We start from the raw sequence: 23690 nt of genomic DNA, 5'->3' as shown, positions 1-23690 counted from the left end.
TGCATATTATGTGCTTAGTGAAGTGTCTGGCACAAACAACTACTCAATAAAAAATTATTGTTAAGAGTGCTATTCAGGCTGGGTGTGGTGGCTCAGGCCTGTAATTACAGCACTTTGGGAGGCCAAGGTGGGTGGATCACGAGGTCAGGAGTTCAAAACCAGCCTGGCCAATATGGTGAAACCCCATCCCTACTGAAAATACAAAAATTAGCCCGGCATGGTGGTGGGCCCCTGTAATCCCAGCTACTCAGGAGGCTGAGACAGGAGAATCACTTGAAACTAGAAGGCGAAGGTTGCAGTGAGTCAAGATCGCACCACTGCACTCCAGCCTGGGCAACAAGAGCGAAACTCCGTCTCAAAAAGAAAAAAAAAAAGAGTGCTATTCACGTATTTATGGTTGTAATATTAACACAAAAGACTTAGAGGACAATCAAAATAGTAAATTATTAAGTAATTAGTAACATTAAACTATTATTAAGTGCTTAGAAATAACTCCTGGGGGAGAGACAGTCAATATTCAGAGAAGGTTTCCATGGGATAAATTTTTTGAGATTTAATTTGAATATAATGTCGACAGAGAGAAAAAAGATGCATGTTGGAGATGGGGTTTAAGATAAGGCATTCAAAAAATGTGTTGGTGGGTGACTTTTAGGTTCACTATGAATGAATTAGATACTACTATCAAATTAATCATTCATTCATACAAGAAACAAATGTTGGACACTTGGTATACCAACAGTGTTAGAGACTGGGATTTTAAAGATAAAGATAAAAATGAAAAAACTACAGGATAAGCTGTTAATTTGTTAAAAAGCAAGATTCAGTATAGTATGTTATTATATGAGCTATTTATCTGAAATAAATACATATATATGCACATGTGTATGCATACCAAACATGAAATGTTTTTGTATACCTAAAAATAAATGGAATCTGGTAATTGTGTTGTCTCTAGAGAGAGCAACTATAGGCAGAGGTGGGAAAACACTTATTTTTCCCATATACCCTACTATACCTTTTGAATTTTATCCCACATGCTTTATATATTGCCTATTCAAAAAACAGTAAGTTTAAATGAGGTTTGCAGCAGACAGACTATCTTTCCTGCCATGGGAAAGAAGGTACTCCAGCTACTTCTTGATGGCCAGCAGGAGAAGCACTGAAAATCTATTCCATGTGTTTCTCCATCTCCTTTTAAGCTTTTGTTGTTTGTTTCCAAACATAGTCCACCATCGGCTGGCAGAACAAAATCCACACTACTCAGCTTTGCTCCAATCAGCGCCTAACCCCAGAGTACCAAGTGTAATGTAAGCATCAGCACCCTGCCTCTGCCCAGCTGGCTCTTCTGCCTTCCCAGCCACTCTCCCCCTCTGAAAGCATGAGCTAGAGACACACACCGAGAAACTCCAATTATACATTGTTTTGAGGCCACAGGAGTGAGGTGCATTACCCTAGACTCATAATTAATTCTCTCACACTTTGCAGAATCACTTATTGACTACACATTGTATGTTGGACTTTGTTTCAGGTGTGGATGCAAAAAGTTCATTAGATGTGGTCCCAGTCCTTAACGATCGCATAGTCATAAACCTGTGGGAGTCTCCAGAGGGGGGCACCCTCCTACTGGGGTTGTGGTCTCAGTCTCATCAACTCGGCACAGCTTTGGGTCACTTTAACAATAGTGTGTGTCTCTCCCCAACTCCATTTTGTAATTTTGGCTGGAAGATTATTTAGAAAATGTAAATACATAGGATTGACAAAGTACTACACATCCTAAAAAAAGCTTTTAATGCACTTTCAGAAGCCATTTTTCAGTTGACTGCTGACATGTTTATTAACTTTCTATTATATGATAATGCCAGGTAACACAATTTTACCAGATGGCAAGTCCTAGAGTGAGGTGACAGGAGGTATTTAAAGAAGAATAAGCATGATCTCTAGCTCTAAGATATTGTAATTTAATTAAAGAAATACATGTACATAAATAACACTAAAACACATCATATAAGTACCAAATCAGTGGTCCACAAATAATAGGTACTACTAGAGCTGAGAGATCAAACATCTGGGCTTTGAAATGGTTAGGTTGGAATAAGACAAAAATAGATCGAGATGGTCTATCATAAGTCCTAGAATGTTAGAAGCAGATGCTTGGATGAAGTAGGCTCAGAAAATGAATACGGAAACAAGAATTGCAGGCAGAATAAACATTTCATTTTATCCTAAAGTCCAGTTCTTAAACTATATAGATACAATAGCTTTCTTTGTTAGTATTTGTCTAGCATATATTTTCCCATATTCCTACTTTCAGGGACTTATGTTTTAGTATTATCTTGCACATGGCATATATCAAGTTTTATTTTAAGTGTAATAGAAAAATACATTCTTCAACCTAAGATTGATATATTTACTTTTATTATTATAAGTATATTACATTGGGTTTTTTACCAACTTAATTTTTGCATTCTCTTCACTATGTTTTGTCATTTTGTCTTTTCTATTTTTTTTTCTTTTTTTGAAAGAAAGGCTGGAGTGCAGTGACACAATCACAGCTCGCTGCAGCCTCAACTTCTTGGGCTCAAGTGATCCTCCCACCTCAGCCACTAGAGTAGCTGGGATTAAAGGCACACACTACCACACAGATTTTTCTCTGTAGAGATTATACGTTAAAAATTCACACCTGGCTAATTTTTGTAGAGATGGGGTTTTGTCATGTTGCGTAGCCTGGTCTTGAATCCTGAACTGAAGTGGTTCACTCACCTTGGCCTTGCTGGGTTTACAGGCATGAGACACCATACCCAGCTTGCCTTTGCCATTTTTAAAAATTAGGAAATATAGGATACCCCATAAAGACTATATAATATTATTAAACAATAATAAATACCTGTAGATCATTCATGCAGTGAAAACCCCTGGGTATACCATACAAATTGTATTTCCTTCCTTTCCCAAAGAAGAAGCCCATAACTTGAATTTTTGTAATAATCACTCACATTTATGTAGTTTTCACCCCTTATGTATCCTCAAGCAACATAGTGCCTATTTTTAAATATTTAGGACATATTTAATGATGCTTCATTTGGTATATTTCTTAGTTACTTGCTTCATTTATTAATTTCCTTAGCATCTTTATAATTGTTTATGAATATAAGAAAAGACCAGTCCCTCAGAGCTACAATAAACTTTTGACAAAAGATGCTGAAGGATTCACTGAGTTGACTGATCTGTGTGTTTCAATTAAGGATTATAGTGTGTTTGAGGTGGTTAATTCTTTCTGCAAATATACTGCAAAAACAAAGGAAAAAATAAAGGCACGTATTTGGTCTTTTCTGTTTATATTTAGCACTTGTCCTCGATGTGTAATTGCATTTCAATTCTAAAGAGGATTTAGTGGCAGTCTGAGCTTCATAAAGCTCAGTGTACTAGCTACATGAATGGTCCCTGTATTTGGGAGAGTAGCCTCTCTTGCCCAGCTATCTACTTGGAAACACATGCTTTTCTGAATCCCAGTCCTGGAATCCCTAAAGAAGAAACATGACATTTACTTTAGAATTATGTAAAACAAAGCCACTGCCATAATACTTACGAAATCATCATGGGTATATCACTATCCATACATATGCTAAGGGTATTTAACCTTTTAAGAAATCAATTATGCATATGCAATATGCATCTAAATGCCACATGGCTTTTCTCTGCTTGTTTCTAGGTAATTTTTATATATATATTCAGTTTGAAAGTGAGAGTAAACAGTAAGATATAAATGTACTTATACACTAGGCAGCTGACTATTTCTCTAAATGCTTTCTTAGCAAGAAGCTTTCATGAATCTTCAGAGAGAATCTCATGATTGGTAAACACCCAGGTCACTGAGTCTGATCTCCTAATATGGAGCACCACTTTCCCCTTCAAATGAAGATGTACTGTTTATTGTTAACTTCTTAAGCCCAAAGAGAATGCGGGTAGGAATGGAAAGGTATAAAAGATGAAAATAAAAAAGAGAGAAGAGCATAAACATTGATCCACTATTAGCTTCTTTCATCTTTGTACTTGTCCCACTTTTCAGAGAACACAGACCTAGAGAACTTTAGTTTCCTGTCTAAGATCCAATGCTGGAGATTAAAACTCAGTCTATGTGACTTATTTTACTATACCACACATTCTGTAAAGAACTGACTTGCTCGCTACTAGCAGGAGAAATGGGTAAATTGTAGAAAAAATATTTTTACCTATTTCAGTCTCCAAAAAACCCAAAGACATGGATTTTTCTCTCTAGAGATTATACATTAAAAATTCATTGATGACATCTCCTAAGCCAGTCTGGATGTGTTAGCAAACTCTATGTCACTTTCTAATTTCATGCAGAAAATCAGTGTTTCAGAAATAGGACAGTAACTTCTGTGGTCTCAAAATGTTTTGCATACAGCCACTCTGGAGTCTCATAGGCAGCACAGAAATGTCGTTTCTACTCAAATAATCTGGTCTCTAATCTCACGTGCTTTTAATGTATTTTGCAATACTTAAAAGTTTCCCACTGAAATATCCTTCTACTGGCCAACAAATTTGTATTCCATGGGGCCTAGAAGCATATCCCTAAGCCTGATATTGTTTTCAAATCTTAGGTTTAACTTAAAAATTCATCAGAATTTTTCATTATACCCTTTCATATATTATTGCTTGTTGTAGTGTTATTTTGTTTTGATATGGGCCTGTAAAACTTTTAATTCAATTGAAACTTTGAAAGGTTGTGCTGTTTCTACTATGACTTGTGCATATCATTTAGTATACTACTACATAATTTAGGTTTGAGAATCACAACTCTAAGTAGAATAGTGTATGCTCAAGAAGATTAGGCAGATACAAACCATTCTCCCTTTGTAGCCTCAAATATTTAAAAATAACCATCTCAGCACCGAGTGTAATAATTCTCCATATGGCAGATCCCTGGAGCCATTCAAAGCAATGGGGTCACTGATACACACTGACTTGGCATCATACAGAAACCTGTATTCTCTTGGCTCTTCCTGCCAATTATGCAGAAATTGAGACATTTATAGTTCAAATCTTTATTTCTGAAGAGTATCTTTGATATTGGTTCTCTTTTTAAAAAGAATCCTTGCATTGGGTTAGCAAGTACTCATAGTAACATATGCTGTTGACAAGGAAGGTAGACAAATATAAGTCCTCCATCCTTCACTTTCCTGCACAGAGCAAGAAACAAACAGGAACTTTTGACATTGTTTTGTGAGTTGCCCCCCTATGCTTTCAGAATTACCTTTACATGCAGGTTCAACAAAGACAACGTTTGTATCCCTTGTGATATTGAACACAGTCATTTCTGGAAACTACTTTGTATAGGAAGATAGAATATTAATATTTATGACTTTAAAATATTTAAATGATCTTTGCACTTTATATTGATTTCAGGGAGCTTAACTGCATCATTTCCAAGTATGATAGCATCTTTATTAGATTAATAGTACTGGCTCCAAGCTAAAGTTTACAGCATGACTTCTGCCAAAATTTAGGAGGTTATCTTTATTTGGTAACTTTTCTAACCTTGTTTAAATAGCAGATTAAAAATTTGTAAAAAAGATTTCTCATAGTCCTTGTAATTTATACATCATCCAGTATCAGGCTTCATATTGCTAGGTTTCATTCTTCATTTATGGTTTGATTTTTTAAATACTGTATAGATTATCACTTAAGACAAAGATTAGAAGAAAGCTTTGTAACAGTGCAAAGCTCAAAGCTGGAACTCTAGTGCTGAGGTAGTAGTAGAAAGCAGAAAACCGCATCTGTTTATGAGACTATCTTGCTCCCTTCAGTCCAATAAACAAACAAACAGAGAGACAAATGGAAACAAATGTCCTTCACAACCTTGCCATTGGGTGCATAGTCGTGGGCCAGCAACATCACCCTCAGGTGGAAATTCATAATCTTAAGTTTCACTCCAGACCCAGTGAAACTTAACCCACATTTTAACAAGATTCATATACACATTAAAGTTTGAGATGATTCTTTAGAATAGCACTGGAAAGATCTACAAGAACCTAGTGACAGTAAATGATTGAAGGAGTATGCGGCTGAGGATAAAAAAATAAGAGAGACTTATTTTCATTGTATACCCATTTTAACTTTTGAATTTTCTGTTATATGCATGTAATACATACTCAAAAATATCTTCTTGGCTGGGCGTGGTGACTCACGCCTGTAATCCCAGCACTTTGGGAGGCCGAGTCAGGCGGATCATGAGGTCAAGAGATCGAGACCATCCTGGCCAACATGGTGAAACCCCATCTCTACTAAAAATACAAAAATTAGCTGGGCATGGTGGCACGTGCCTGTAGTCCCAGCTACTCGGGAGGCTGAGGCAGGAGAATCGCTTGAACCTGGGAGGCAGAGGGTGCAGTGAGCCGATATCGCACCACTGCACTCCAGCCTGGCGACAGAGCGAGACTCCATCAAAAAAAAAAAAAAAAAAAAAAACAACAACAACAAAAAAACTTCTTAAAGTTATTTAATCATTCATTTGAATGGTTTAATAAAAATAATTTAATTTTAAAAACAGCAATCTTATTGAAGGAAAAACCCTATATTAACAAATTTTAAAACTTTCATTAAACAAAGGTGAAAGCTCATTAAGATAAACAAACTTGAAGCAAATTTATATACTTTCATAATTTAGAATTAGCAAAATCATCAATAAATTTTGTAAATTTCACTTTTCCACCTATATGAGCTTTAGTGTTGAATTGTACTAATTCTTGTCAGGTTTATTGTCCCTTAGAGTTCAATAAATAAGTTTCATATTGAAAAATAATGCAAGAGAAAAATAAAAAGTTATTCAAATGGGAAAATAAGTCAAACTATCTCCTTTGCTAATGATATTACTCTATACCTAGAAAACCCTAAAGACTCTGCCAAAAGGCTGCTAGAACTGATAAACACTTTCAGTATGGTTTCTGGATACAAAATAGATGTACAAAAATGAATACCATTTCTATACACCAATGTCCAGGCTGACAGTCAAATCAAGAACATAATCCCATTTACAATAGCCACAAAGAAAATAAAATACCCATGAATACAACTAACTAAAGAGTTAAAAAAAATCTCTACCATAAAATTTGGCTGAAAGAAATCAGAGATGATATAAATAAATGTAAAAACAGTCCATGCTCATGGATTGAAAAATCAGTATCTGTCCATACCATCAAAAAGAATTTACAGATTCAACACTATTCTGATGAAAATACCAACATCATCCTTCACAGAATTAGAATAAAATATTCTAAAATTCGTATGGAAACAAAATATAGCTCAAATAGCCAAAATAATCTTAAGCATAAAGAACAAAGCCAGAGGCATCACATTACCCAACTTCAAAGTATGCTATAAGGCTATAGTAACCAAAACAGCGTGGTACTGGTACAAAAACAGACACATAGACCAATGGAACAGAATAGAAAACTCAGAAATAAAGCCACACATTTACAACCATATGATATTTTACAAGAACAACAAAAGCAAGCAATGGGGAAGGGACTCCCCTATTTAATAAATGGTGCTAAGATAACTGGTTAGCCATATGCAGAAGAAAGAAATTGTACCCCTACCAGTCACCATATACAAAAGTTAACTCAAGTTGGATTCAAGATTTAAATGTAAGACTTCAAACTATAAAAATCCTGAAGAAAACTTAGGGAATAGCCTTCTCAATATTGGCCTTGGCAAAGAATTTCTGGCTAAGTCCACAAAAGGAATTACAACAAAAATAAAAACTGACAAGTGGGATGTAATTAAACTAAAAAGCTTTTCCATAGCAAAATAAACTGTAAACAGACAACCTGCAGAATGAAAGAAGCTATTTGCAAACTATGCATCTGACAAAGATCTAATATCTAGAATCTATGTGAAACTTCAACAAACCAACAAACAAAAAAAAACCCTATTACAAATGGGCAAAGGACATGAACAGACACTTCTCAAAAGAAGACATGCAAGTGGCCAATAAAAATATGAAAAAATATTCATCATCACTAATCATCTGAGAAATGCAAATCAAAACCCACAACGAGATACCATCTCATACCGATCAGAATGGCTATTATTAAAAAGTCAAATAACAACAGATGCTGGTGAAGCTGTGAAGAAAAGGGAATGCTTATACATTGTTGGTTGGAATGTAGATTAGTTCAGCCACTGTGGAAAGCAGTTTGGAGATTTCTCAAAGAATATAAAACAGAACTACCATTCAACCCAGCAATCCCATTACTGGGTATATACACAAAGGAAAATAGATCATTATAACAACAACAACAACAACAAAAAACAAAAACAAAAACACGTGCACTCATATGTTCACCACAGTGCTATGCACAATAGCAAAGACATGGAATCAACCTAGGGGCCCATCTATGGTAGACTGCGTAAATAAAATGTGGTCAAACTTTTCTCCTGCCTTTGCAAAGCTTATTCTTTGCCATAGCTTCCCCCTTTCAACATACAGAAATGAATAGTAGATAAAAATTGTGACTTCCCATCCCAGAGGAAAAGGAAAGGTGAAGAGTTAAGGAGAAAGTGACAGGGCCTGGATTTTCTGGGACAATTTTCATTTAGTATAATTTTATTCTTTTAAATAAACATAAGTTTATGCAGCTAAGTGTGGTTTTAATTTTATACCTTTTAAAAAACTTCTTTTAGAAGTTTATTTAAAAACAAAGTAAGACCACAAGACAATATTTTTTATTCAAAAAACACAGTTATTTATCTTGACATCTTATTTGGCCTACTGAAAGGCAAGTTAAGTGGAATCTAGCAAATGAAACCAGCCATATTCTAAGAATACTAAGATTCCCAAAATATTTAATTTAACTTGTCCCCTGATTCTCCAGAAGCACAGTCTAGACTTTACTTGCAATTATATTTAATTCAAAGAATATTTCTTTTTAATTTCAAACTGACTGGAACAGCCTTTTTACTTCAAGCATACATGAAGATTTGAGGAAAAAAATGGTTAATTCAGTCATGTTTTAGTCGTTTTATTACCTTTACACTGATAGGTCTTTTAAATTTGAATTTTTGAAGACAACATATACAAATTAATATGCCCAATCCATCAGAGTGGACTGACCTTTCTCCATTTAAGTTTTGTTTATATTCTGCAAAAGCTAGTGGTATTCAAATGTTTTCCATAATTTGGTAGCATTTTCCAAAACCTCATCTGTCTCCTGAACTGTATTCTCTGCTTTGCAGTACTCATGTTAGATTAAACAGGAAAGATGAGTAGCTTTACAAGAGATAATTGTAAGTTAAGTAACAGGAAACATAAGACTAAACTAATTTGATGGTCACAGCTATTCCATGGCTGTAATATCGGAGTTTTCTTCTAGAGTCATTATAATAATGCAGAGATGGAAAAAACAAACTTTAATTAAGGTGATACTTGCTTAAGGCAAGTCTCTGGGAGTCTGCAAGAGAGGTCGAGGCAAGAAGAAGACAATAATTGAGAAACAAACCAACACAGGTGTATGCTGACTCTGCATTACAGAATGGAGATGAGTAGTAAGAAGGAAGCCAAATAAATTAGGCTGAAATAAAGCAGATAATAGCTTTTGTTTATTAAGCAGCTGTGATACGCCAGACGCTCAGGTCAGCATTCTGTATTTTGAATCTGTGGCCCTCACAATAGCATCTTACGGTAAGTGTCATTATAGATGAAGAAACTTTGGCTCAGAAAGGTTGCATAACCTAACAATGCTAAACAGCAAGTTAAACCATCCTTAGAGCTGTAATACTCCTGAGTTCAGTGGAGGATGGCTAGAGGTGAACTACAGCTAGGATCTAAATGGGTTTTGTTTTGTTTTTTCTTTTGTTGTCACCAAACCCACGGTTTCTCAAAGTACAGTCCTTGTTCACTTCATCCACCTCATCTATTGGAATCTCCTGGGTTGCTTATTACATTTGCAGTTTCATAAACCTTACCTCAGGTCTACTGAAGCAGAACCTCCAAGGTATAGGACCTGGTGACCTTCATTTTAAACAAGATTACTCAGTGAGAGATATCACACAAAAAATTAAGACCTTCTGCTCTAATGGAAGGGGGTTCAGATTATATTCCGCAGCTCCAGTGTGGGAAGGGGGATAACACCTTTCTAGATAAGTATATAATTGATTTCTATGGTTTAGGGGGAGAGGGGGAATTCCCTTCTGAATAATAACCCCTTTGATCTTATGGTTTTCTTTTATTCCTAAAGACATTTTCAATAATTAGCTTAGTTCATAGAACTATGGAAGCTTAAAGTTTGGAGAGGATCATAAAGGTCAATACATAACCTCATGCCCAACCTATAATCCTTTAATCCCCCTCTATCATATTCTCATAAAGTGGTTGCCCAGCCTCCTCTGCACCAGTACCCTAGTGATGGGGATCTCACTCTTTCATTAGTTAGTGATGTCAATGGTATGACCGTGGAATGGTGCTAACCTAATCCACATGTGGATTTAACACCTGCTTTTGGTTATACTACCTAGAAATCTTTGCAGAAAAATCACACTATCACCCTCCTGTTTTAAATTCTTTAAAGATTTTCCATTGCACTTGGAATGAGATCTAAACTACCTCTTTCATGGCCTGGAATACCCTGCCTAAAACTTCACTCACTCCTCACACCTGGTATTTTATACTCAAGAATGTTCTTCCCAGCTCTTTCCACTTTCAAGGCTTTTGCCCGTGTAGTTTCTTCTCCCTGTTTTACATATTTCAGGTCTTGGATTAAATGTACACTTCTCAGAGTCCTTCCCTGATCATCTTCTCTAAGTAGATCCCTCTCTCAACTATTCTCTATCATCATGGCCTATTTTTTAATTAAGACTATTACAACGTTCAATATTGTAGTTATTTGTGATTTGTTAGCCACACATACCTGAGCCCCTTATACACAAAATTATTAATGCACACTCAACTGTATACTTTCTCCATCAGGAATGGTTTCTCTTCTATCAAGCATGTGTGTGTGTGTGTGTGTGTGTGTGTGTCTGTGTGTGTATTTTTATAACTGAATATTACCTGAGACACACATACACACACACATTTTTCCAAGGCAATGTTGTCAATACATCTGAGTTATGTTGATATGACACCATGGAAGCCACCTAATCTGCAATTTACAAAATTGTCTTTTCATGAGAAAACTCATTTCTGTTGATGATTAGATTTTGGGTTGAGCACCTTTTAGACCTAAGTCATGAGGAGGTTTACATGTTAGATATACTATATCTAGTAGATATTTTCTACTTTGGAAAAACACTAGTCTACACATGAGGTATCTTAGAATTGGGTTTCAATTCAATCAATAAAAAACTGTATGATCATGCTCAAGTCACCTCTCCTCTCTGGACCTTACCTGTCTCATGTGTAAGGTGAAGTAGTTGAATCGTATGATCTCCAAGATCCTTTCTATCTCAGACAGGTGGTGAGTCAATGAATTATGGATACAGAAGTTATGTATGAACAGTGACTAGAACTTAATGACTATAATGAACAATGTAAAAACTGCATACAGTTTTAATCTTCAGAATGAAAGGAAGGAAGAAAAGAAGAGAGGGAGAGAGGAAAGAAAGAAAAAGACAAACGCAAACAGACAAAAGGAAAACAGCTTGAATATTAAGATACAGCAGAGGTATCTTAATTAGTGTGAAATATCTCAAACCCTAAATTTCTTCCACTTAACAAAATAGGATAGGCTATAGAAGAACAAGAGCCAGACTGGGAAGACTAGTAGAGGGTTATCATGACAGTCCATAAAAAAACATGAGGTGATTTTGGACCAGAGCGATACCAATGAAGGTGGTGAGAAGTGGTCATATCTGAGGCATTTTTAGAAGAGCTGAAAAATTTGCCTATGGATTCCACTGCAGTTGGAGAGGGAAAAAAAAGGAGTTCAAGAATGATGTCAATGCTTTTGCCTTAATAACTAGAAAGGCAGAGGTGTATCTTATGAGATGGAACAAAAACTCTGCAGGTCTGGGTGATTTTGACAGTTTGGTCTTATATATGCTGTTTAAGAAGTCTATTAAGCATCCAAGAGGAGATATAAAGTATGCAGTTGAATAGATTCCGAAGTTTTTTTTGTTTTTTTTTTTTTTTTAGACAGAGTTTCGCTCTTGTTGCCCAGGCTGGAGTACAGTGGCACGATCTCGGCTCACCGCAACCTCCGCCTCCCAGGTTCAAGCGATTCTCCTGCCTCAGCCTCTAGAGTACCTGGGATTACAGGCATGCGCCACCATGCCTGGCTAATTTTGTATTTTTAGTAGAGACAGGGTTTCTCCATGTTGGTCAGGCTCCTCTTGAACTCCCGACCTCAGGCGATCCGCTCACCTCGGCCTCCCAAAGTGATGGGATTACAGGCATGAGCCACTGCGCCTGGCCTAATTTCTGAAGTTTAAGGATGATAGCTATGCTTAGATAGAAATTTGGAGTTAGCAGAAATTGGATAATTTAGAAAGTAAGTAAAAACAGAGCAAAAATAAAGTCTGAATACTGAATCCAGAAAACTTAAACTGTCAAAGGTTGAAAAAAATCAGGAGAAACCATCAAATGAGCCTGAAAAGAGTAGCCAAGAAAGCGGAAAGTGAGTAAAGAGAGAGCTCATGAAATTAGATGAAACTAATCACAATGTTTCCACGCCAATACTAAGTATATTTTATGTTTAAATATGATCTGCAGTATAGATTTTTAAAGAAATCAATATAATCATGTTTTGAGTCCACGAACACTGGGGAAGGCATTGGTTGTGATACTGAATATGCTCTAGCTAAAAGGATGATCATAAAGATACCAGCATGGCTTCCCTGCTCCGTTCCCTGCTTTGGTTAAGTATAGCTGTGTGGATGTGATGTCAAATGAGATACTTGATAAACCAATGAATCTGTCAAGTAGAAGGCTAATATCTTTAAGGTTAAATAAATTTAATTTTATTATAAATGCATGATTTAGTTATCTAACTAAGGTAGCCACATTATAAAGCATTAGGAAACTAGATTAGATAGACAGCTTAGATAGATAGGTAGGTAGGTAGATAGATAGATAGATAGATAGATAGATAGATAGATAGATAGATAGATTCCATCATTCTACTTTCCTCAGCTACTGGTAATAATTCTAGACTAGTTTCTAAAATTTTTCTCCATTAATATTTTAAATAAATATTATCATAGCATAGCCATAATTGTGAAACTGATATTTTCACTTGCCATTATGTGGCCAAGTTAACAAGTCCTGTCCAATGAGATATTTGGATAAGTCAGTTTGAAAGTATCTAGGTTAAAAGATTTTCATTTCTATTAAAAGAGAGCTATGAGAAGAGAAATGTTCTCACCATCCGGGCCATTATGCTCTTCTACCTTTTCTGCCCCTCATCCATGCCTGGTAATGTGATTGTGGTGTCCAGGACTGTACTAGTTATCTTGTGACCTTGAGGTGACATGCCTGGATATGGCATAACTAAAGGATGGAAAAAATCCTGGATTTTTGATAATATCATTTAATAGTAAAATAGGCCAGCAAAAGCCTATAGCCAGATGTTTTATTAGGTGAAAAAAAAAGTCCTATTTGTTTAAACCACTGATACTTGGGTTCTCTTGTATTTTAGGCTGAAAGCATTCCTAACTGAAACACACAGTATCATCAGTATTTCCCTATTTATTCCTGTCTTTATAACTACAATTTGAATCGTGATGTAAGAATCAATATATCAAAAATTACTTAGTTAGTCCTGTATTCTAATAATTACATACGTTTTCTGGGAACTTTCTAGGTTTGCTCCTTTAAAATTTTAGTGTGAGTAAAAATTAAAGCTACTATTTTGGAACATCCTCTGGAATTAAAAAACTGTAAGATACGCTTCTCCTGCTCACTGCTAGACACTTGGTTCCAAATGATCTTGAAGACTTGTACCAAATTCTATAATTTTCAACAAAAGCTCATTGAGGAAAAAGACCCAAAATGTGTATTTTATGATATAAACATATGCCAACATATGCTAAGAAGTAACATCACAGTAAGCTTTATTTTTTTCGGTCTACTTTATATGAGACTACAATATTAGAAACAAGGAGGACAAGTAATTGGTTCTTTTGCCTTTGTAAAAGGTCTTCTGGCATTGTTATTCATCCACAATTTGGAAAGCAAAATGTATTTCCTCAGCATGCGGTTATTAAATCATAAAAAGTTATTATTCTATGCAAATAAATTCTCATAAAGGGGTGCAAGTGTCTGCAAAAACAAAGACTTGGAATAATCTCTCTACTTCCTGGATATTTTTTTCTTTTTCAGTTTGTTTTACCATTGTCTAGTCTACTATTTTCTCAGTCTTGAGACAGGGAAATTATACCATTTCATATATCTGCAGCATTGTCACATAGAAGAGAGAGCACTCTTATTCTAGGTTTGTCCAGGAAACAGAAGCAGAGCCCACTGATGGACATTACAAGGGAAAGATTTAATCTCAGCATGAACATAACTCTGTCTAGTAACTAAGGCTATCCAAAAGGTCACAAGCTACCTTAAATACGGTGATCTCGCTGTTACCAAAAGAACTAATACTAAGATGGATGACTTGCACAAGTGCAACAGAAAGCAGACTACCATGAGGTGCAGAAACAGCCTAGATGACTTCTGACGCCATTTGAAAAATCTAAGAAATTATCTTGCCATGCTTTTTGAATTGTGTCCCCCACAAGCCCTGAATTCTGAAGATCTTTATTTTGAAATATACTCCAAATCCAACTGCTAAATATCTTACCATAAAATTTATAGGACATATGTAAATTTTATATAAATATATTTATCCCTTATCCAATAGTTTCAAAATGGACCTTTAATCGCATTTTTTTCTTAAGCAATGGATATGTAATTTGGATAAAAATTGCTTTGAAACAAAAGACATACACACGTTTGTGCACATGTGTGCCCTGCATATACATTAGCCTTTGATTCTGTTCTGGGTCCCTCAGTGGTTCATGTACTTTAGTGAATCAGAGCTAATATACTAACTGCACAGATTTCTCAGTCTTGCTATTTTCACTTGCTCCAAGTTCAGTCTGTAAATTACAGGGTCTTCATTGTCTACATTTACATGACCCTAATTATTCATTTGTGTTTGCCTCTGTACAGATTACTGTAAATCACTGAACTCAAGGAACACACTAATATTCAATGCATGTGCCCACTGCAGTTGCCCTTTAATACTCAGGTATGTATTCCTTGTACTAATGTGAAGGAGAGGGTTTTATAAACCAGCACAGCTTTTGGAGAACAACCACCAGGGCTGCCACAAACATTTGAGTAGGTCATATTTTGAACAAGAGTGCCCAGCTAAAGGGCTCTATGAGGACTGAAATCCAGCCTGCATTCGTTCACCAAGCCATGAGCCCTAGCATTGGGCCATGTCCACTGGAGGAAAGATGCCTTTGTCTAATTCCCACAGAGGCCATGGGCAGCTCTGAGAACAACAGACTGACTGAATAATATCTGAAGACTCTTCCATTACTCAACAACGAAAACACCAATTAAAAACATCTACAGATGCTACCTGTGACCTCCTATCAAGTGGTTCTTCCTAGGGGATTTATAAATACTAAGTTCAAAAAGAAAACAAAGCAAAAAAGCTTATGCTGTTTGTTGCTGCATTAACATGTATTGCCATTTAATTTGGCCATAAGAACTGTATTTACCTCCCACAATCTCATACCATTTTATACTACAGATAAAACATTAACATATAAATAAACTAAGTGACTTCCAAAGGAATTAGGTCAAAACAGAATAATAAAGTCAAGTTCAACTGGGTTTTTAAACCAACTGATGTTTTTGACAATGGCATTAAAATATTTTAGCATAATATATGTATGGCACATAGGATGTTGAAACCTAGAGTATTACAGAAAGGTGTTAATAATTTCTGTGTTTAAAATCTACTCCTTTGGCTTTTTTTTTCCTTGTCTTAGATATCTTCATTTACACATGTTCTACATGGATGTCTATTAATGGAATCTATACCATTCTAAGGCTGCAACTTGAGTGAATAATTTTATGCTTTGTTTCATCTTAAACTTATACCACATCTTCCTTTACCAGATTCTGAGGAAAGGGCATATAAAATGGTTAGAGTGTCACAGTTCTACCTAATACTACAAGAATAACAAATTATAAGATTTTAACCAGTGCCCTCTTACTCCACCTTCAACTCTCAAAAGCATACACCACGCAGTGTACATACCAGGGTTTTCCTTCTTACTTCCCTCCCCGTGAAAGACACTGGAGTCCTTCATCTTAAGCATATTAACAGGCTGGAGAAGGGAGGCAGTACACGATGACGTAAGAAGAGAAGAGATAGTGTATAATTTATCTAGATAATGACTGTCCACATTTTTGTTGTCTCTGTTGTTAACCAAAAAGCTGCATGTACCCACCCCCACACGGAGGAAGACTCAGATGAAGACTTCTTCAAAGACTCAAATGAAGACTTCTTCCAGGATTCAAAGAGAGACTAACAACTTCAATGAAGTTTCTTTCAGCCCTGGTATTCTGCACTGCTTATTGGTACTGTGGAGCAATGGAGTTGCAAATCCCTCTAGGGAATCTGCAGAGCCTTTTATATACTATTTAAAGGTCTAAGACTATGCCACCAAGCTTTTGCCTGCCTTCCCCCATCTCATAAACTATATACACACAGTTACACAGAATTATACATAAAACTATCATTTATTCGATGACATTATGTAAAAATTATCTCTAACTACAAGGCCCTATGTTGAAATCTGTTTTATCAAACAAATGCACAATGGCTGTTTTCCAAGTAAGGATAATCAAATCTATGCTGAAAGTCAGTTTTCCTGATTTCAATTTTGGCCATTTTTCTAAAATAATTGCTTAAGAAAATCAAGTCATTTCAACTAGGATGTCTTTCACTCAGAACCTTAGATCGCTGTAACTCTGTGAATTTGAAGTGCCTGAGACCCTCTGATGGCATTAAAAAGATAACAGCATCTGCATTTTTTAAGAAAAATCCACTAATTTGTTAGTATTTAAATTTTCCACGTAAAACAGACTTACATAGATGATCATTGTTATATCGTTATTCTTAAGTATTCAGACATAAAAATTGAAGAGAGTAATGTGACCAAAATTCAGGGCCTATCGTCCAGAATTAAAAAATATTAACCATATTTCCGTATTTGTTTCTAATTTGATAATATTCCAGATGCAGCCAACATTGCTTCCTCAATTTTAGTCCCTCTCATCTTTCCCCAGAAGATACATATGTATGCCCCAGAGGCACACATAATTCTGGAGTGCACATGTAATCTAATCACCTTTGTTTTATACTTTCATCATATTTTTGTGTATATAAACAGCATTTAAAAATCTTTTATGTGCTTGTAAAATTTACATAAATTGTATCATTCTATATGGATTATTTTGAAGTTACCCCCTCCCGATGAACTTTGTTTTTGAAATCTATCACATTGATAACTATATAGTAAGTCTCACCTAATGTCATTGATAGGTTTTTGGAAGCTGTGACTTTAAGCAAAGCAAGGTATAATAAAACCAATTTTACCATAGGCTAATTGATACAAACAAGAGTTAAGTTCCTATGGCACATTTCTCCTAACGTCACCAAACTTCTAAATAAAAACCAAAACACTTCTAATACTAAACACTGAGATAAGCGCGAACTATACATACATTTAACAAAGTTTAATAAAAACAAGTAAGATAATTATTTACCCAGCTACTTCAGTTCAGTGTCACAGAGTGGCCAGAGCCTATCCCAGAAGTTCAGGGTGCAAGGCAGAAACCCACGCTGGACAGGACATCATTCTATTGCAGGGTGCATTCACACCCACCCACACTCACTCAGACTGGGATCATGTACGCAGGTCAAATTCAGCGGTGACAGCGTGCTGGCAGTGCTCACGGCCCTCTCTCGCTCTCCGCGCCTCCTCTGCCTGGGCTCCTACTTTGGCGGCACTTGAGGAGCCCTTCAGCCCGCCGCTGCACTGTGGAGCCCCTTTCTGGGCTGCCCAAGGCCGGGAGCCGGCTCCCTCAGCTTGCGGGAAGGTGTGGAGCTCGGAGAAGCGCGGGCGGGAACCGGGCCTGCGGACGGTGCTTGCGGGCCAGCGGGAGTTCCGCGTGGGCGAGGGCTCGCGGACCCCGCACTCGGATTGGCCGGCCAGCCCCACCCGCCTGGGGCAGTGAGGGGCTTAGCACCTGAGCCAGCAGCTGCTGTGCTCAATTTCTCGCAGGGCCTTAGCTGGCTTCTCGCGGGGCAGGGCTCGGGACCTGCAGCCTGCCATGCCTGAGCCTCCCCCCAACTCCGTGGGCTCCTGTGCGGCCGGAGCCTCCCCACGAGCGGCGCCCCCTGCTCAACGGCGCCCAGTCCCATGGACCACCCAAGGCCTGAGGAGTGCCGGCCCACAGCGCGGGACTGGCAGGCAGCTCCACCTGCAGCCCCGGTGCGGGATCCACTAAGTGAAGCCAGCTGGGCTCCTGAGTCTGGTAGGGACGTGGAGAACCTTTGTGTCTAGCGCAGGGATTGTGAACGCACCAAACAGCGCCCTGTCAAAACAGACCACTGGGCCCTACCAATCAGCAGGATGTGAGTGGGGCCAGATAAGAGAATAAAAGCAGGCTGCCGGTGCCAGCAGTGGCAACCTGCTGGGGTCCCCTTCCACACTGTGGAAGCTTTGTTCTTTTGCTCTTTGCAATAAATCTTGCTGCTGCTCACTCTTTGGCTCCACACTGCCTTTATGAGCTTTAACACTCACCGCGAAGGTCTGCAGCTTCACTCCTGAGCCAGTGAGACCACGAACCCACCAGAAAGCAGAAACTCCGAACACATCCGAACATCAGAAGGAACAAACTCCAGACACGCCGCCTTTAAGAACTGTAACACTCACCGCGAGGGTCCATGGCTTCATTCTTGAAGTCAGTGAGACCAAGAACCCACCAATTCCAGACACAAAATTACCTAGCGTGTACATCTTTGACACGTGAGAGGAAACCAGAGTACCCAGAGAAAATCCACACAAGAGAACAAGCCAACTCCACACAGACAGTGGCCCAGGCTGGGAACTGATGTTTTTTTCTCATCAATGTTATAATAAATGACTTGAATGAAACAATATTATTCAAGGATCTGCTGTACATCTATTTGCTCCAATTGAACTACTCAACTGTAGGATAAACTCTAACAGTTTATCCATTCATGAAAGAATATTTAACTTCTTTCCTTCCTTCCTATCTTCTTTTCTTTCCCTATAATAAACAAAGCAGCAAAGCACAGAAGCATAAGTTCTAGAGTTTCTTGAAGCTCACTGTAAGCATTATAACCTATAAAAACACTACATGCATTTTTGTAAAATATTTGTCCAGTAATTATTCCAATTGTTTCATGTTTCTAGGTAGATTTAACAAATAATACTAGTGACTCTTCTGCTACAAACTTTTCACTGATTAAAAAGTCCCTCACCTACTATTGTGTCCTGAAACTGGCACCCACTCAGTGTGCTGACAGTAGCAATAAGATCAAATCAAAGTTATTTTCAACAGTATCAAGAATTAACAGCTCCAGACAGAGATGGCTGCCATTTAAGATAACAGCTCAATTTATGTAGTGGGGTGGGGGGGGGGAGGAATATCAAGACATTGAGGTGTAGGGATAAGAGACAAGTAGCATTTTAATCAAAACATTAGAAAATGGCCAAGCACTACTAATAGGGGACTTATTTAGGTTGAATCATAGAAAATTGCCATTTTATGTGTCAAACATCAGCAATATATAAAAATCAGCTGTTCCTCATGCTTTGAATTTGGCAACAGCATGAATAGTATTCTCTGAAATGGCCAAGAACTATTTCTGAGACCTGTAGCTACACGTGACCCATGCCAATTGAGATTTGGATGTGTTCCCAGGTGCTACAGGGCATCTTTCATACCATACCTCTCAGATGCTTCATACAATTCTCATACACTCATCCTTTACCCAAGAGCTGCTATCCCAGGTTGGGCATTTGTGCATTTCACAAAGAATCTAAGCCAAACGGGAAACAGTGTGCCAGTGACTAACCTTGCACCCCAGGATCCACTCAAGGAGATTCTTTTTCCTAACTGATTTGTCCACCAGGAGTACCTTTTTCTAATTTTTACAAAAGCATCCTATAGGCTAATTCCTGATCACTTTTTGAATTCTATACAAGCTTGGACATTAAAGCATAAGATTAGCTAGGTAAGAAAACAGTGGGCTGAAGTTTCATAACACGTGCAAATAGAAACTCTCCTTTATTGTATTGGATCCTTGGTTTTCTTGTAGCTAAGATTTTCTACATCAAACATCCCTTTGATGAAAATGTTGAGGGATTTTCTCCAGATTCTCAGTGAAGGATATGGTTGAGGAAATAAAACCAAGAGTCAGATTATCTTCTTGGCAACCAAGCACAGATGACGTATTCAAGTTACATTAGGACATTTGCAATCTATTGATTGAAGTAAATAAATCTGGAAGGTGTGTCTTGTTTGCTAATCATGCAAGAGGCTTCCATGTGATCCTGAATTTTTCTTTGAAAAGGAAAAAAACACTAATTCCTGTCAATTATTTTCACACTAAAAAATACATTCCAATCAAGATACAGCAGCAAACATTTCAAATGCATAATTCAAAGATTGTGAAAGCAATTCAGCATAGTGACCTCTGAATTGAGCTAGAGGCTGTGTATTCTCTTTTGGTGTCAGGTCTCAAAACTCGCGGCAATTAATTTGATGTATTGATTTAATATTTCAGGAAGGAATGTATTTACCTGGCAAAGGCACTGTGAAAGATGTTTTGAAGAGAAAAGAAATGTTTGCAAATGAAGACAAGCTCCTTTGATGAAAGGAAAGCTGAGAGTGAGTAGCATTCACAGAATCAGACCCCAAACACTTATTACTTCAAGGCTCGATTTCCCAAATTAGAGCTAATAATGATTCAGCATTGCACTGTTGGATACTTCATTCTGTAAAAGAATACCATGGGGTAGAAAGGAAGCCATGCAACAGATATGATCTTGTAGGCTGGCCCATTAAGAGAGGGTTATTTAAACTAGAGCTAAATTAGAAAGAACCATTTCAACACTATATACCTAAGCCAGCAGTTTTGGAAAAAAGATGCCATCTCTCTTTTTCAATATATAAATTTACTATTACTTTTTAAATTGTCTGTTCTGATTATATAAATAAGAAAGTACTAAATAAAATATAAAATGTAAATGTAAAAAAAGTATAATTCCATTATACAAAGACCACCAGATTTTCTCTCATCTTTCTTATTTACTCAAAAGAAGTTACAGTTTATCTACAACATACCGAGCATTATGCACAATAAGGACACTACACTAGTGAATGACACAATCCTTTCCCTTGGATTTGTTTGGTGTAGTGGGGAACATGCATAAATAAAAAGGAAAACATAGTACATTTTAATCAGTGTTATCATAGAAGTATAGAGGTGTATATGCATATTATATATTAATAAATCAAATTTTTAAGAAAATAGTTCTTCTTTTTCAGTTAATGTAATATGTTCCCCCAAGATAGCAGATATACATTTTTAACATCATGTTATTGATTGCAAAATAGCCCACACCTTGGATATACTATAGTTACTATACTATAGTAACATAATTGGATATAGTATGTTAGCCATTTTCTTATACTTATTTGTTCAGATTTTTTAAAATTTTTCATTCATATCTAACATGATGATGAACGCATTTTACATCTTTCTTAAGGCAAATTCCTAGAAGTTAAAAGTTTTGATTCAAATGGTAAGGACATTTCCAAAACTCTTGGCACATATTGCAAATTTGCGTTCCGAAGAACGAAAGCATTGTGCCAAATTACATGCCCACCAGGAATGGAACCTTATGAAAGATATACAAGTACACACTCATAAATCACACTGTCCTTGTTTTCTTCAGTTTGTAAGTTTTTTAAGTGCAAACCATCTGTTTTTTCTTGAGCACAATAAATGTTTACAGTACATAAAGAGTTACTGATGATAACTGATTTTGTTTTAATGTAAAAAATACCTATTTCAAAGTTTTTTAAGGTACAGCTTTGGTATTATGCAACCGATGACACAGTATGCATTTTCCCTATAACCATTTATCACAAATATCTAAAACTATCTTTCAAGATAGCATAGTAGCAGATCTTTATCTTTTCTCATTATCAAGTCTGGTATTTATGCTATCTGGTTCTGAGTAAGATGAAAGAGTCTGCTGCTTATTTAGATTTTATTAAACTTCTATGTTTACTGTTTGCAACTGTAAAATTTAGATAACCACCAAAAAGTGAGTGGTTGGAAATTAAGAAAGTCATCTCTCCAACTTTTATACAAACTTGGAATAAGATTTATTGAAACCTTGAATTATTAAAACAAGTTCTTTCTGCTTAACATCTGATATGGTTTGGCTCTGTGTCCCCAACCAAATCTCATGTTGAACTGTACTCCTATAATTCCCACTCCCATAATTACCCTGAGATAATCTGAATCATGGGGCCAGTTTCCCCCATACTGTTATTGTGATAGTGAATAAGTCTCATGAGCTCTGATGGTTTTATCATGGGTTTCCCCTTTTGCAACTTCCTCATTTTCTCTTTCCGCCACCATGTAAGAAGAGCCTTTCACCTTCGCCATGATTCTGAGGCCTCCCCAGCTACGTGGAACTGTTAAGTCCAATTAAACCTCTTTTTCTTCCCAGTCTCAGGTATGTCTTTATCAGCAGCATGAAAATAGACTAATACAGTAAATTGGTACCAGTAGAGTGGGGCATTGCTGAAAAGATAACTGAAAACATGGAGGCAACTTTGGAACTGGGTTACAGGCAGAGGTTGGAACAGTTTGGAGGGCTCAGAAGAAGGCAGGAAAATGTGGGAAAATTTGGAACTTCCTAGAGACTTGTATTGCTTTGACAAAAATGCTGATAGTGATATGAACAATAAGGTCCAAGATAAGGTGGTCTCAGATGGAGATGAGGAGGGGAAAATGTCTCCAGGGCATGTCACAGCCCCTCCCATCACAGGCCCAGAGGCCTAGGAGAAAATGTTTCTTGGGCTGGGCCTGGGGTCTGCATGCTGTGCGCAGCCTACGGACTTGGTGCCCTGTGTCCAGCTGATCCAGCAGTGGCTGAAAGGAGCCAATGTAGATCTCAAGCCCTGGCTTCAGAGGGTGCAAGCCCCTAGCCTTGGCAGCTTCCATGTGATGTTGAGCTTGAAAGTGCACAGAAGTCAAGAATTGAGGTTTGGGAACCTCCACCTAGATTTCAGAAGGTATACGGAAATGCCTGGATGGCCAGGCAGAAGCTTGCTGCAGGGGTAGGGCACTCATGGAGAACCTCTGCTAGGGCATGGAAGGGAAATGTGGTGTTGGAGCACCCCACAGAGTCCCTACTGGGGCACCACCTAGTGGAGCTGTGAGAAGAGGGCATCTTCAACTATTTTGTGAGATATGAAGTAGTGGCAATATCATTTACATCTTCAGCTACTTTTGAACATCTAGTAAACTACAGACAGAAGTAATAAAGTCAAATAATGGGTAATACTTAGAACAACTAATAACAGACAGAAGTAATAGAGTCAAATA

General features: G+C 37.2%; 1 protein-coding gene across 5 annotated transcripts in view, besides 2 other annotated features; it reads right to left on the bottom strand.

Moving 5' to 3' along the window:
- Positions 1-23690, bottom strand: part of KCNH8 (potassium voltage-gated channel subfamily H member 8) — a 387133-nt gene that overhangs the window by 282879 nt on the left and 80564 nt on the right. The window lies entirely within an intron of this gene.
- Positions 17898-18413: an enhancer, noted in NCBI's record as "H3K27ac-H3K4me1 hESC enhancer chr3:19275843-19276358 (GRCh37/hg19 assembly coordinates)". NCBI's record gives its function as "activates a minimal SCP1, AML or CMV promoter by ChIP-STARR-seq in naive H9 embryonic stem cells {active_cell/tissue: H9 hESC(naive)}" and the evidence as "EXISTENCE:reporter gene assay evidence [ECO:0000049][PMID:30033119]".
- Positions 18414-18930: an enhancer, noted in NCBI's record as "H3K27ac-H3K4me1 hESC enhancer chr3:19275326-19275842 (GRCh37/hg19 assembly coordinates)". NCBI's record gives its function as "activates a minimal SCP1, AML or CMV promoter by ChIP-STARR-seq in naive H9 embryonic stem cells {active_cell/tissue: H9 hESC(naive)}" and the evidence as "EXISTENCE:reporter gene assay evidence [ECO:0000049][PMID:30033119]".

Source organism: Homo sapiens, chromosome 3 (genome assembly GCF_000001405.40).
Source record: "Homo sapiens chromosome 3, GRCh38.p14 Primary Assembly".
NCBI lineage: Eukaryota > Metazoa > Chordata > Mammalia > Primates > Hominidae > Homo > Homo sapiens.
This window is presented reverse-complemented; position numbering and strand designations above follow the sequence as displayed.